This window comes from Homo sapiens, chromosome 15 (genome assembly GCF_000001405.40).
Source record: "Homo sapiens chromosome 15, GRCh38.p14 Primary Assembly".
Classification (NCBI taxonomy): Eukaryota; Metazoa; Chordata; class Mammalia; order Primates; family Hominidae; genus Homo; species Homo sapiens.
In genome coordinates, this window is record NC_000015.10 from 61,823,156 (window position 1) to 61,838,829 (window position 15,674).

Consider the following 15,674-nt stretch of genomic DNA (forward strand, 5'->3'; position numbering starts at 1 on the left):
TATTCTCCAACATGATGGTGTTTGGAAGTGGGGCCTTTGGGAAGCAATGAGGTCATGAGGGCTATGCCTTCTTAAGTGGGATTAGTGTCCTGAAGAAAGAGGCTCGAGCAAGCTCCCGGCCTCTTCCACCACGTGAGGACACAGACAGAAGACCGCCATCTATAAACCAGGAAGGGCATCACCAGACACCAAATTTGTCAGTGCCTTGATCTTGGACTTTCCAGCCTCCAGAACTGTGAGAAATAATTTTCTGTTGTTTATAAACCACCAAGTCTATGGTATTTTGTTATAACAGCTCAAACAAACTAAGCCACCATACATCTACTGCACACTAATTTTTCAGCGTCCCCACCACGGTCTTTAGATGACTCTTCAGCCATTTCTCAGCTTTCCCAGCCTTCCTGGGACTCATCTTTCATGATCACCATGTTCTTGTATTTGCCTTTGGCCACATGCTCCTTTTGAGAATTAATTTTGTGTGTCAACTCGGCTAGGCAAGGGTGCGCAATTGCTTGCTCAAACCCTGGTCCAGATGTTGCTGTGAAGGTATTCTTTACATGAGATTAACATTTAAATCAGTAGACTTTGAGTAGAGCAGATGACCCACCACAATGTGAATGGGCCTCGTCCAATCCACTGAAGGCCTTAAGAACAAAAACAAGGTTCTCCGAGGTAAAGGCACTCTCCCCAAGACTGCAACACAGAATCTCTGCCAGAGTTTACAGCCTACTGCCCTGTGGAATCTGAACAGAAGATTGCAACAGCAACTCTTATCTGCATCTCCAACCTGAAGGCCTGTCCCATGGATTTCAGACTTGTCAGCCCCCACAATCATGTGAGCCAACTCCTTAAAATGTGTGTTTATATGTGCATCCTATTGGTGTGTTTCCTTGGAGAACCCTGACTAACCCACTCCTCCTCCCATCTTTTGCAGGGCTATGCTAGTTTTTTAAGAGCCTTCTTTATCTCTTTCTTTTGGGTCATTGATGAAACACAAACAATGGCATTGTAGAGTCTACTGTCCTTGTAACTCATATAAACTTTGAAGACTTTGAAAGGTAAGAATTACTACCCCCTCTCTTGCCTTGTTTCGACTTGCTTTTCCTCCAGTGTAAATAACATGCCTCACTTCATTCTCAGCTTGCTTCCTTCTTAGATTCTAAGATGAAGGCCACTTTCTTCTGGGATCTTTGTCTTTTCCTACCCACACATAAATTCTTTCTGGTCCCAATGACCAGTTTTTCTCTTTGCTTCTTCTCCTCAACTTTTGGACATAAAATTGTCAGCAAGGCCAAACAAGAATTTATGTTTTTAGCAGCCTGAGACTCCAGCTGATGACCAGATGGTTGAAGTCTTCCTTTACTCCTGGATCTTGCCTCATGCCAGTTTTGTATTCTGCCTTTAAAAAGTATTATCCATCCACTCCTAAAATAGCACTGCCACTGCTCTCCCCACACAGTCCTTCTCTTCAGGTTGAGATTTGCATTCCAGTGAAAACTTGATAGACTCCCGTCTCCCTTCTATGATTTCCACTTCTACTGCTGCTGTTAAATGCATTATATGTTCTTCCTTTTGTATTCGTCTGTTCTCACGCTGCTAATAAAGACATACCCAAGACTGGGTGATTTATACAGGAAAGAGGCTTAATTGACTCACAGTTCCACGTGGCTGGGGAGGCCTTGAAATCATGGCAGAAGGTGAGGGAGTTGCAAAGTCATGTCTTATACGGTGGCAGGCAAAAGAGAATGACAGCCAAGCAAAACGGAAACCCCCTTATAAAACCATCAGTTCTTGTGAGACTTATTCACTACCACAAGAACAGTATTGGGGGAACTGCTCCCATGATTCAATTATCTCCCACCGAGTCCCTCCTACAACATGTGGGAATTATGGGAGGTACAATTCAAGATGAGATTTGGGTGGGGACAGAACCAAACCATATCACCTTCCCATTAATATATTCAATTCCTGAGTCCCAGAATCAGAGAATTTCAGGGTTAGCACAGATCATCAGACCCTGGGACCCCATCTTCTCTGAGAAAACTCCATCAGGAGGTTTGAACACCTTCAGCAGCTAGAAACTCATTTTTCCCATGCAAGGTGGCCCCTTCTGTCTCTGAGCACCTCTAGCTCACCTGGATTTGCAGCAGCGGCACTGCTGGGCAGCCTGGAGGGAGGGCAGGAAGCATGCTCACAGCTGGAACAGTCAATACATGTTCTCCAAAATATGTCTTTTCAGGCCTAAAGGTGAATAAAGAAGGTAAGCAAAAGATGGGGGCTTTCTGTGTGTTAACTTCCCCTGTGATAAAATCTGCCCAGGCTACCACTCGGCAACACCTATAGAATACATGTTTCTCCTTTGTTAGATTTTTTTTCACTTTGTTGCTCAATCTCTATTTACTGGTATCTCTAAGGTCCTACAGATTTTCCCTGTCGCCACTAATTTAAAAGTAAAAGGATGGGCAAAGAATTTAACAAGGATGTTGCAATCCTTAATAAAATTTTGCAGGATTGTCAAGAAATTTTTGACCAACAAGACAAGTGATAGTGAAACATTCTTTTAAAAGGCAAATGTAGCCAACAGCTGCACTAATCAAAGCAATAATGACACTGTAATAAACAAAAAGATCAGTGGAAAAGGCAAGAGGGGAGAAAAATATGTGAGTCTATGTGGGAATTTAATAAATGATAAAGGTGGCAGCTTAAGTCTTGGGAAAATGGGATATCCCTCTGAAAGAAAAAAAATGATACCGTCTTGTGATGGATTAAAAAAAACTAAGCATTCCTAAAAAGCATAAAATTTTAGACTGCATTCGAGAACAGTTTTATAACATTATAAGGAAGGTCTTCCTAAGGGAGAAAAAACTGAAATGACTTCACAGATTTTAAAAGATTTTAAAATTAAAACCTTATTTGGAAAAGTAAAAAAGAATAACAGGCTATAAGGTTCAAAGTGTATCTCTTACACAAAAAGAACTCTAATACATTTATAAGAAAACTATTAGTACTTTAGAGGAAAACCAGGCAGAAGATATGAACAGAAGAGGTAATTCAAATGGCCAGTAAATAGATGAAAAGATGCTCAACTTCGTATCAAAAAGATGGTTAGTGAGATGCACAGTGAAACAACAAAATACAACTTTTCATTGAAAGGTCCAGCAAAAAAAAAAAAAAAAATGATAACACCTAGTAATGGCATGAGTGTAGAGAAAAGGAGTTGGAAAAATAAATTGCCACTACCTTTCTGGGTGTCAGTTTTGCAATATTTACAAAGTAAAAATGTGGATGAATTCTGATTCAGACACTTCTAAGGAAATATTCAACAGAACATTTGTACACATGCATAATGATATGTAAAAAAGGTTTAATGAGGTGTTGCAATAACAAAATGAAAATAATAATATCTGAGTAAATTACCAATAAGGGATGGGTAGGAAAAAATATGTTGCAATCATATGGCATGCTACGCAGAAGTTAAAAGAACAAAGAAGATCAGTATCCAATGATCTGGAAGGAAGAATGTTTATACACATTTTTTAAAAAAAAATCCATTACAGACCAAAATGTACAGACTGATTGCATTTGTAAAGACATACCCGTATAGACACAGATCCACCCACTTCAGGTGGGAGAAAGTCAGGAAGGATGCCCCCCAGACTGCTACCCCACCACCCCAGAATAGTGGTGGGACTATGGAACACTTTCAGGTTTTTTGTGGTTTTCTCTATTTTTCAACAAATGTGTTAAAAAAAAAAAAACTTACTACAATACCTGGCACAAAACAAATGATCAAAAGACAGTAGCAATTATCTTGACCATTACGGTGTGCTGTGCCCTGGACAATTCCCCTTGTGTCCCATTCTTGAAGCCAGCTCTTGTTTTCCAAACATTTTTCTCTTCTTAGTTGGAAGCAGAGGTGAATTTCCCACCTTCCCATGAAGACTTTATGACTTAGGACTTCACTCCCCTTCTCCCTCCCCCACCACCCATATGGTACACATCCCTTCAGCTGGTGTTTATTTCCTGTGTATCCAAAGAAATGGAAACAACTAATGGGGTCAATGACTGTGGCAGGGTCCTTATGCCATGCCAGGGATACCCTTTAGGGTGACAGCCGCCCCCAGAAAGGCTATGCCAACACTATCCATGGCAGCTTTGGGGCCCCAGTGAAGCCAACCAACCACCCACCATTTTGGGCTCTTGCTTCTGAGGTTTCCCTGGGCACTAAGGTAACCAACTTGTCCCAGTTTGTCCAAGACATTCCCCCATTTTAGCACTGAAAGTTTTACATCCCAGGAACCTTCTCAGCTTCATGCAAACCCAGACAGCTGGTCACCCTTGTGGGTACCTGCTATGTGTCTGGCTGTTTGCTAAGCAGTGTTTCGGGGGAGAAACGATATGAAGATGAACAAAACACATTCTCAAACCTCAAGGTCTCCTTACGATGCAAATGAGGACACTGGTGAAGAACTAACCTGCCCTGCTGTGATTCGTCTTAGTGGAGATGCCGGCCACATGCTCTGGAAGGGAAACCGCAGAGATGAATTCTGCCTCCAGGGAGCTGGACTTAACGTTCTCCACGCTATGGGCAGAGGCTGTCGCTGGGAGCTCAGTTCCAAGGGCTCCAATTATCTTTCCCTGGTCTCTCCTGTGCCTTGTTCTTGCACCCTCCCCCACTCCCGCCTCCCCAAAACTCCCCTCCTGGCTTGGCTTCCAGGGCCCCTCCCAGGCACCTCAGAGCCCTTCAAAAGCATCTCCTCCAGTCAAGCCAGCCAACACTGGTGGGGAAAAAACGCAAGGGTCACAGTAGTCCCGACTTTCTGGGTCCCTCCTGAAATAGATCCCTCTGAAGGCCACCCTGAGGACGTGGCCTTGGCGATCGGTCCTTGGGCTCCAAAATATCAGCTGGCCCAGCCACATCCGGCCTCCCATTTGGAAGCACATATGCGCCACCTCCCAGGGGTGAAGACCAGCTTTCTTTAGTAAGCACAGTCACAGCTGCCGCCCTGTGCCTCCAGCCCGGGCGGCCATCTTTCCCGGTGAATCCCTCACCTCTTCCCGGTGCTCAGAGTGCACGGGCCCCCTGCTGGTCTTCCTGCTTAGCCGGGGTTCTCAGCCCCAGGTTCCCATTAGAATCACCTGGTAAGTGTTTCAAACATAGCAACGCTGGTTCCCCTCTCCCACCAGACCATTTAAATCCAAATCTCAAGAGAGGAGCTCCAGCATTAGCAGCCTTTAAAAGCCCCCAGGTGATTCAAATGTTTGGCCAGGAATGAACGCAGGGCCTAAAGCTGCAGTGCTTCGCAGGGGCGCCACCAAAGCTCACTAAAGCCTCGACCTCCTGGGCCCATGAAATCCTCCCACTTCAACCTCCCAAGTAGCTGGGAATACACTCAGCTATTTTTTTTTTTTTTAATGTAGAGATGGCGGGGGGTCTCACCATGTTGCCCAGGCTGACCTTGAACTCCTGGGCTCAAGTGATCCTCCAGACTTGGCCTCCCAAAGTGCTGGGATTACAGGGGTGAGCCACTGTGCCTGGCCACGTTCTGCTTTGTTAAAGGGTAAACTAGCCCAGGTGTGGTAAATATAATGCTCTAGGGTGGAGACCAAGCACCTTGGCTCCTGCTATCTATTAAGTAAATTACCTTAAGTAAATGTGGCGAATGACAGCATTTACCATCAAGGGCTGTGGGAGAATTCAGTGAAATAATAGAGGTAAAAACACCTAGCACAATGCATGATGTGTACCGAGAATATCAGAATGTTAGCTATCGGCCAGTTACTCTTTAGTATGAATGAGTAAATGGTGGGTGCCCAGCAAGTGGTCTTGAAAGGGGAGCAAGGATGAGGAGCCTCCTGTCTTAGGGAGGAGCACCCTGACCAGGGGAAAAGGGAGGGAAGGACTGAAGCCCAGCTTTGCTGATGTCATAGATTTGGCCCAAGGATGTAGTTTGCACTGATTGCTTTGTCACCTTTTCAGGTCACCTTCCCTCTCTGGCTGTCTCATTCTTGAAGGCAACAGCATTATTGTCCACTCTTTAACCCAAGGTGGGAGAAGAGATGAGAATCAATGCCTTTTCTAAGGAGAATTATCAGCAGGCCTTTGTTGGTGGGGGCTTCTCATTCCTGGTTTGTGAGGTCATTCTTGTGGACAAACAGAATAAACCAGAATTTGGCCCGCCAGGGACCTCGAGGCACCAGGCCAGTTCTGAGCTCAGTTTAATTTCACCAGCCACAAATCTTTCTCAATGTCATCCAACACATTACAGGCGCTTAATGAATATTAAACAATAACAATAACAAATCATTGTCTTCAACCTGCCGAGCCCCCTCTTAGTACTAATGCCAGAACTTGGTTGGACACTTTTGGGAGAAAATCCTGCCCATCTCCTTGGCATCCCAGCCCTGCACCCAGGGGCAGAGAGCTCACAGGCTACAGTGAGGACAGGTCACCGCCCACAGCAGGGGGGTAGGGCGTAGGGAGGAAGCAGGGAAAAGATACACGGCAATGGCCCCGAGCTGCTGCCAAGCATGACCAGAGCCTCTGTGCCTGCGGTCGGTCCATGAAGCCTGCCACCATCAGCCAGAATGCCTCCTCCTGCCCAGCCACCATTGTGACCCAGCTCCCGCCATCCAGGAGGGCCAGACTCCACCTCACCTGTCAATGCTGAGCTCTTGGTCATGCCACCTGCATCAAGAAAGAGCTGATCAGGAGGAAGCACTCTCCCCTGTGTACCCTTGGACCTGTTCGAGTTCGGGCCATGCACACATATTATCTATCAAAAAAGCTACATTTAAAACACTTTAAAGGGAGGACTGAAAAGCTGCATGTAGGTGAGATAGGTCAGACAACTGTGTTTTCATAGCAAAGCTGGCCACTGTGGAGGGAGGAGAGGTAATGCAAATATTTGTTGAATTTGATTTTCTTCTTCATAGTTAACCTGAAAAAAATCCTGGTGGGGCTACATATGGCAACGTGTGTTTTGTCTTAGGTCCCACCCCTTCTATGTGTGGATTTCCAAGTCAAGCAGAATCTTCACCCATTACCAATGAATGTGCCCCACCCTGGCCTGGACTCCTCTTTCTCCCGCTATGCACAGGAAGGAGGATGGAGGATACAGGAAATCATTCAAGAAGAAAGATTAAAAAATAAAAGGTTCAGAAGAGGCAGGAAGCTAGAGAAACCAATGTGAAGAAGATGGAAAATGGGAGAACGTGTCACAAAGAAACAGCAAAAAGAAGAAACCCAGTGTTAATTAGGCCCCGGGGCCCTCAGTCACCCACGGTAAGTGGTAAATTAACTTCTCTCCGCTGCATCTGGAATGGTCCTAGTTATGACTATGAGAGCATCGAAATAAGTGGACAGGTGCATCCCGCAGATGCAAGTCCAGCCGTCCTGAAGCAGCAGAGCCTCTCACATGCTGCAGGACAGACACAAGGAGCCTCCAGCCCAGCACCCAAAACCCAGGAAGTGCCTGATAAATACTTGTTGATGGGAATGAAGAGCAGCCAGGCATCTGCAGATTTGAGAAATGCCAGGGATGGTTGCTGTCACTCAGCCAAGGGATCCAGAGAACCAATGAGGCCTAGATCTAAAACCCATCTGACTGCCCCAATTAGCCTGGAAGCTCCAGGAAGTCAGCGACCACATCTCAGTCATCACTGCAGCCCTGGCCCCAGCCAGGGCCTGGAACAGGAGGCATCTCCCCGTGTCATCTGACTCTGCAGGGAGGTGGGCACCAGCGCAGGCTGAGGGGACACTGTGGGGAGGGGACGCTGTGAGTGTCCTCACCTGGAGCTCCAATGGAGAACACTGAGAGTGAACCACAGGCAGCCAAGGCCAAGGCAAAGCTTTGAGCAGCACAAGGAAGCAGGAGGAGTCGTGGCCCTCTTGGCCCTGCCATGGGGCACTGCGGGAGTGCACTTCGGTTTGGAGGTGGTGGGGGTAGGGACACCCCTGAGGTATTTCCACCCACATTGCCTATGTTGCCCAACCAGCTAGATGGCCACCTCGCGGAAACTAAGGAAGCTGTGGTTTGTGTGAAGGGAAAGGTGTCAGGAAAGTGTGGCACCCCACAGGGACCCCAGTGTGGGGCAGCCGCTGGGCCCCACCGGGAATAGGAGACTGAGGAAGAAGGCCTGCAAGGTCAGAGCCCACTGATTTCAAAACCCAAGTGGACTTCATTCCTGAAAGGTAACGTCATGGCCCCGTGGTGAGGACGGATAATCTGTCCACACTGCCAGTTGCTCCTCACCTGAGGGGAGAGGCTCGGTGACAGGGGCAGGAAAGGGACGACTTGGGAGCTACTGGACAGAGCTGGCACTGGACTGAGCCCACGGAGCAGGCTGTCTGCACACACTACCAGGTCCCAGACACACCAGCTGCAGCCACTAACACTGGCAGAGCCCAGCAAGGGAGGCAGCAGCAGTGGTTTTCCTCCTTCCGTTACAGATTTCTCAATCAAGGCCCAGAGAGGTAAACTAATCTGCTCAGGGTGGCCTGGCTAACAAAGGAACAGAGAACGGTCTCAGGTTTCTTGCGCTGCTCCTCCTCTTCTCGGCATCACACTGCCTCTCCCAGGGTGGAGGCGTGGGCACTCGCCCTCACTCTCTCCATCTCTCTCCCAGCAGATGCTTACAGGGTGCCCCGTTGTGGAGGGCACAAGCTGGGCACTGCGAACAGAGCGCAGCCCCTGTCTGTGTGACCCACAAGGTCCACTGGCCCTGGGGTGGGGCACGGGGCAGCATCAATCCCTAGTGGTCTTGGCTTTCAGTCTTTCAGAGCCTCCCCTGGGGCACTGCCCCACCTCTGCCGAGAGTCCAGCGTTCACTCATCCTCCCCCAGGGAACTCGAGGCTTGGGGAGCTATTAATAAATACAGTTTCCCCTCCACACACCTTCATCAATCAAGCGGCAAGAACCTGGGGTAAGGCACAGCTCCAGGAAGCCCCAGCTACGATGAGCAGATAGTACCTGGGCAGGCCTCCTTTGCACCCCTAGGCACCAGCATGGACCTGTCTTAATCACCAGGCCCCGAAGAATGACACAGGCCTCCACAGCTCAGGGAGCTCCTACAAATGAGGGCTCAGGTCAGCTCTAAAGACAACTGCCCTATGCCCTAGAATCCTCTTGACAGAGGCACAGTCCTTCTGTGTCTCTGAAGGTCATGCCGTCCTTCAGGTATTGGATTGCAGTTTCTAAAAAGACCTAGGAGCTGTATCTCAGGTGAACAGTGCTCCCAGCCAGGCAGCCCGATCTGAGCCGGAGGCCACAGCCACGTCTCCCTCATCTTCGTAGACCCAGAGCCACAGGTTCACCTCTGAGCTTTGTCACCACCTACCCCTTCCCTGGTGGCCACAGTGACATGTCTCCCAGCTCTTCCCAGCTCCCTGAGCAGAAACAACTGTCCAGCTCATCTTTATTCCCTACAGTAACTGGTCTATGAGCACGTGATAGATATTTGTTAGAAGAGGATTATGGAACGCTTTGGTTGATAAAGAAAGAGGAATAATATATTCCTTGAGCTACATGTTTCTTGATTTCTTTCTGGGTGTACTGTGGAGAGCCCATTATGTTAGTTCATTTAGTTCTGACGACAATGTGTTGATGTGGGTAATACTATTATCCGTATTTTAGGAGGAGGAAGCTGAATAATAGGAAGAGCCTGGGCTGGGTTTCAAACCCAGCCTGCCTATCCTGGAGCCACATTCTCAGCCAAATGTAGAGCCCTGCTTTTCCCTATCAAAAAAGAATGGATTCCCAGGGATCTGTCTTTTTCTAAACATCAGCATGACTCTGTTTCATCTTAATTGCCTGGCACACAGTAGGTGATCTATAAATGTCTAGGAAAGATTAATAAATGAATGTCATCAATGTCGATGAAAAAGCAAATATTGAAGGAAGAAAAAATTTAAAGATGGGCACTCTGTTCTGAAGCATTATCAGCAATTTCATGGTGTGTGTTTTTTGTGTGTGTCTCATACGCAGACACTTGCAGGCACACACATACCACACAAGTCTATGATCTCAAGTTTGAGAAAGTGAATATTAATTACTTCTACAAAAAATATTACAGGCTTTTCTATCCCCCAAGATGTGCTTCAAAACTGTACCCATGTTGCAATTCAACCTTCCTTCTGCTAATCTCACTATGCCATTTAAACTTCTACTGTCTTTATACGGCGGCGCCAAGGGTTTAGGCAGAAGTGTAAGAGATGAGAGCCCAGAGCTTCTACATGGGCAACAGTGGGATCTATCCTGGATCCTACCCTTTCTACCTAACCCGGGAACTTGGTAAGGTCCTCAGTGTCTCTAACCATGGCTCACACACTCCTTCAGGTCTAGCTGTGTTGTCTTTGTGCGTGTGTGTGTGTGTGCCCGTGCAGCGCATGCACACCCAAGAAGGTCCAAACTATTCCCAAATTTAAATCTTTTCTCTCACCATAACCCTAAATACAGCATGCACATTAGAAACATATATCCAAATATGGGGTTCAATAATGAACCATTGCCTCATCAGACATTATTTCCTCCAAAATGTATACAAACACTTAAACCACTCCTTTTATTAAAAAAAAAAAAGAGCAAAAAAATGAGGACCAACAATCTATAAAAGGAAATTCAGATAGAGATGGGGGAAGTGGCAGTGGTTTTGCAGTTTCCAAAGGTGAGCCTCCAAGGGACAGAGCTCACTCAGCATCTGCCAGCTAATGAGGTCATCGTGATCATTTCTTTGCTTTAAGAGACAGGGTCTTGCGCTGTCACCCAGGCTGGAGTGCAGTGGCGCGAACTCGGCTCACTGCAGCCTCAGCCTCCTGTCCTTAAGTGATCCTCCTGCCTCAGCCTCCCAGAGTGCTAGTACTACAGGCGCATGCCACCATGCCTGGCCCTATGGGTGGATTTGACTTTGGCCACTCAATGCTCCTTGGAAAAGCCCCCTCTACTTCAGAATCCAGTATCCCCTTTCCTCACCACCTCCCAGCACTGACATTTAGAGTTTTCACAAACATGAAGTCCACACCACTCTAAACAAACTCTTGGATGCTCCATTTTGCTCACTTTGGCAGAAGCTGAGCTTTCTGTCCCGAGATTGAAAGAGGCACGAAGCTTAAGTCACTCCGCCACCCTGTGGCCAGCGAGAGAACTGCACGCTTCCCGCGGGACAGAGGCCGGGCTCTGGAACAATGAGCTCACAAGCCGCACACAATTTTTAAATCCATCATAGCACCTTTTAGGAGCACCTCTTCAAAGGCCCTACAGTAGTTCTTAACTGAACTGGAAATTGCCTGCTTTCCATACAATTGTACACAAGTGTTCTTCTGTTTAAAGGGACCGATTCATCTATTTCTGGGTGCTTTGTTCTCCAAAACAGTGTGGTTAGAAATCACCCCCAGGTTTATCCAGTTCATCCTCCTGCCTCAAGGAAGGACGCCCTTCAACCCATTCAGGGAACACACGTCGCTGCCGTTTTATGAAGAGTATCTGAAGGCAGCGTCACAATCTCCTAAAACGCACCCATGTGTTTGAAGGTCAGGGGCTCAGAAGGTTTTCTCTAAAGTCAAACCCAAATTCCTGCTGCTGCAAAGACCTGAGGAAGTACGAGCAACCCCTGCTGAATCTGATGTGAGTTCGAGTCCTAATTGCAGGACTTACTTGCTCTGAGCCTTTCTGTTCTGATCTGTGACGTGAGGGGCGAGGGTCATTCTTCCTGCCCCTGCCTTACGGTTGTAGGGGCATCCCGTGTGCAAAAGCACCCTGTAAGGCTTTTAAAGTGCGGTGGGAATGTGGCTCCGGGTTATTCTCATCGAATGTTCCACGGTGTCAGAAGACATTCACAGAGGGGCAGGTTGCACAAAACGAGGTCCTTAAACACAGAGCTAGGAGGAAACAGAATGGGGTAGGTGCCGGTTAGGTGGACCAGACATATCACACCCCCCTGCTCAACTTGGGGGTTACAGTGCACGCTGAGAGCGGGCCACCGACAAACCATGAACCAGTGACCTGCTCACTGGCATTTTGAGCCGACAGTAACCCCCCTCAGCCACAGAGTGCCAGTGCAGGAGTTACTCTGGCCAGGGCAGGGAGGCCCGGGGGCTCTGTGACACAGAGCTTGCCCCGATCACGGAAGCCATCTGTCCTGGATTTTCTGGAGTTCTGGTTTCAAATATTCCAGTCTATTGTTCCAGCAAAGACACAGGGCTTTGCAGGGTCTGACAGCTGGGGTTCAGGAAATATAGCCCCAGAACCCCATCCTCGCAGCACCCTTTTGAATGGAAGAGACATAAACGATCATAAATGAAAAACCCTCACTGCGGTCTCTGAAATCCCACTCCTGAAGTGAAGGGCTCTCACTGTGGCCACCCTGTCCAGGAAGTCGGGGGGTAGCCTGTTTCGGGGTTGGAGCTGGAATCCTCCCGAGTCTGTGATTGGCCAGGACTCTCTCCTGGGACCCCACACCGGAGCCCAAAGGGCAGGATCAGAAGGGAGAGGCTTCCTTGGAGCACGGGCACAGCTGGTGGCTGGGCGCCCTCTAGTGGAAGATCAGAAAAAGACAGCCTGGAGGGATGCAAAATGAAACTCACCAAGCAAGCCAAGTGAATTTTTCTCCTGAATTTTCTTTCCCCTGCTTCAGGATTGCCAGCAGACATCTGCTTCCACGTTGACTGGTAGGCAGGCTTCAGTGCCTCCTATGATCCAGTCTAGGGAACGACCTTCAGTTCATAACAAATCACAGAAACCTTGGAAATTTTTCTGAACAGCAGCTCTCTCCACCTCCAAGAAAAATAATGAAGTTTGGTGTTTGGGCCGCCTGCCTCCTTGATGTGTTTCACACATGATTCTCCTGGTTTAGGGAACTTTCAAGTTTGGGCATCAAATACATGCACAGCCCTTTCAAGTAGGAGGTCTGAAAACCAAGACAAATAGTGGCTGTTCTTTTTCAAAATGCCTCACTTCATTTCCAAAGCATTTGGTCTTTTTATTAGTCTCTTTAAAATATCAAATCCATCCTGCAGCACACATCCATTTGAACGAACTAGACTCCAAGAATGCTTCGAGCGGATGCACACAGTCTTATTTTGTGGGCATGCACGGAGATGGGCCTACACTTAAAAATGGTGAACATTGTAAATTAAAAAATTGATATTTAGCCAGGCGCAGTGGCTTATGCCTGTAATCCCAGCACTTTGGGAGGCCAAGGCCAGCGGATTACTTGAGGTCAAGAGTTCGAGACAGCCTGGACAACATGGTGAAACCCCGTCTCTACTAAAAATACAAAAATTAGCCGGGCGTGGTGGCGCATGAATCCCAGCTCTACTCGGGAGGCTGAGGCACGAGAATCGCTTGAACCCGCGAGGCAGAGGTTGCTGCGAGGCAGGATCGCGCCACTGCACTACAGCCTGGGCAGCAGAGAGAGATTCTGACTAAAAAAAAAAAAAAAGACATGTAAATGGAGTTACATTTACATGTCACCACACAAGGGTTATTATTATGTTTATGATATACTTTTTGCAATTAATTTTTCTGTGGCTTTAGATACTGATAAAACCTATTAAACATCATAACAGTATTTGAATGTGGATATTTAACAGGAACGTTGGATCAAATTTTATAAAATCAAAGAACATTAGGATGTAGTATCTCTTACTTGGTTCCTCTGAGCACTGAGCGCCATGCCAGACACTTTACACACATGATCTCATTTAATTTTCCTAACACCTCCATGAAGTGGGTAGTATTATTTCCATTATATTGTTAAGAAAACTAAACAGAGACGCAGAATGACTGAACAGGATTCCCCTCTGTTTGATTGAAAAGTCTATGGTCTAACTGGTCCACTTTACTGCCGCCTGTGTAAGTGCCGTAAGTACAAGCAAGAATAACCCACTTCTAAACTACTTAAACCAGAGGATGCTGATCAAATGAAAAACATTTAAGACAAAAAGAATTTCAAAACAGAAAGGTTAAATTAAGTAAACGCTAGAGAGGAAAACAATGTAGTATAAGTATTCAGCAAAAGGCTTTTATACAAAGATGTTTTTAGAAAAGAAATGTGATTCTAAACAGTGTCTCCAATCTAAATTACATGAAAACATTTGAAGACTTGAAGACCAAAATCAAACTGTGCACAAAACAGTGGTACGTAATCCCAGAAAGATTTAAAACACAAATTTACCAAAATCACAGCTTCTGAATAACAGATTTGAAAACATAAAATAGATACTCACTGCACAAAGACAACTTTGGTTCTTCTTTGGTAAGACTTTGGCACTTACCAAAACATTATAAATAATGTTAAAAAAAAAAAAAAAAGAACTTCAAATGATTAATCTTAAACTTCACCTTTTCTAAAATTAAATGCCTCCAGTCTAAGGACCTGGCTGCTTGGTCTGTAAAGAATTTAATTAGCATTTATAAACTGTCAGTGTAAATATCTTTTCAAGAGACATATATGATGATTTTAATTCAAGAAGCCAATTCAGCATTTATAAAAGGTAACTAAATCCGTCAGTATGCCTGTCCATTTTTCCTTTTGCATTAACGAGACTGAGTTTCATAATTTAATTCTGAAGCATACAATTCAAGTATGTTCAGATTAATAACAATGTATATATTAATATATTACATATATATTAATATGTTTATCGCAAGATAATTAAAGTAAGAAAACTGTATCTTCCAGGTTTCAAGAGCAATGAAATTATCAAGTTCATTTAGACCTGATTGTGATTATTTCTCTCTCACCTTGGAATTCTCTAGGCCCAAAGGGTCCAGAGAAGCAGAGACTGTTGCTTCTGTGTCCCCAGCCTAGTGCAGTGTTTAGCTCATGGTGGGTACACAGTAAATGCTTCTTTAACGGATCTGTGCTAGCAAATTCTAGGGTACAAGTTGGATCCCTAGAAAGGTTTCTGCATTTCACCAAGGACAAACATACCTGTATCCTTTAAAAAAAAAAAAAAAACTCTAAGCTTATTGCAACTTGGGCTTTTTACTCATAGTTCAAACTACTCAACCTACTAAAGGACTGGAAGTGCTTTCAGAATCAACCTACTCAGTTCGCATCAAGGAGACAGACTGAGAGAGGTGAGGGCATCCCTGAGACCCTTGCCCAGACCTTCTCACTACAAAATTGCTATTCCTCTCTTATGTCTGTGGAGCTGAGGCCTCACAGGGTGCTCACATGGCAGAAAAAAACAGCTACCTCAAGATAAACAAAAATATCTCTTCTCTGTCCACAATGACCAGCCACCTGTCACATTCTCAGAGTGGGGTGACCCAGGCAAACATTGCAGCAATGCTGTGGGCCTCGCTTGATGCCATTGGAGGTGAGCTCGGAGTCCCTCCTCCTTGGCAGCTGGGAACAAGGAAAGGGGGCAGGTTAAGAAAGGGAACTTGGAGGAACAGAAGGGAAAATCAAAAGGCGGAATCAAATGCAAGAGGCAAGAGATATGTCTGTGCAGGTCATTAATCAAGCCCTCCAACATGGCCTTGTTGTGTTGTGCTGGGTCTCCCACGGGGATTCCCAGCCCCACGAAGACAAGAGCTATTCTGGAGGAAGCCATGAGGAACTTCTTTATGCAAAAGCACTCCCTAAATTCCTCACCAGAAGGACGAAAGACATGGTGCGCGTTCTCGAAGAACAGATTGGTGGGAGCTTACGTTTCCCTAGGAGGTCA

The 15,674-nt window shown here is 46.3% G+C and overlaps 1 long non-coding RNA gene across 1 annotated transcript in view, besides 4 other annotated features; it reads left to right on the forward strand.

The window, feature by feature from the left end:
• Positions 4,457-4,958: an enhancer, noted in NCBI's record as "H3K4me1 hESC enhancer chr15:62119811-62120312 (GRCh37/hg19 assembly coordinates)". NCBI's record gives its function as "activates a minimal SCP1, AML or CMV promoter by ChIP-STARR-seq in naive H9 embryonic stem cells {active_cell/tissue: H9 hESC(naive)}" and the evidence as "EXISTENCE:reporter gene assay evidence [ECO:0000049][PMID:30033119]".
• Positions 4,959-5,458: an enhancer, noted in NCBI's record as "H3K4me1 hESC enhancer chr15:62120313-62120812 (GRCh37/hg19 assembly coordinates)". NCBI's record gives its function as "activates a minimal SCP1, AML or CMV promoter by ChIP-STARR-seq in naive H9 embryonic stem cells {active_cell/tissue: H9 hESC(naive)}" and the evidence as "EXISTENCE:reporter gene assay evidence [ECO:0000049][PMID:30033119]".
• Positions 7,458-8,323: an enhancer, noted in NCBI's record as "H3K27ac-H3K4me1 hESC enhancer chr15:62122812-62123677 (GRCh37/hg19 assembly coordinates)". NCBI's record gives its function as "activates a minimal SCP1, AML or CMV promoter by ChIP-STARR-seq in naive H9 embryonic stem cells {active_cell/tissue: H9 hESC(naive)}" and the evidence as "EXISTENCE:reporter gene assay evidence [ECO:0000049][PMID:30033119]".
• Positions 8,324-9,188: an enhancer, noted in NCBI's record as "H3K27ac-H3K4me1 hESC enhancer chr15:62123678-62124542 (GRCh37/hg19 assembly coordinates)". NCBI's record gives its function as "activates a minimal SCP1, AML or CMV promoter by ChIP-STARR-seq in naive H9 embryonic stem cells {active_cell/tissue: H9 hESC(naive)}" and the evidence as "EXISTENCE:reporter gene assay evidence [ECO:0000049][PMID:30033119]".
• The window catches only part of LOC124903501 (uncharacterized), a 44,799-nt gene continuing 40,664 nt past the window's right edge, over positions 11,540-15,674 (forward strand). The window contains exon 1 of the long non-coding RNA XR_007064668.1: positions 11,540-11,622. This is a non-coding gene — a long non-coding RNA (uncharacterized LOC124903501). The remainder of the gene's footprint in view (positions 11,623-15,674) is intronic.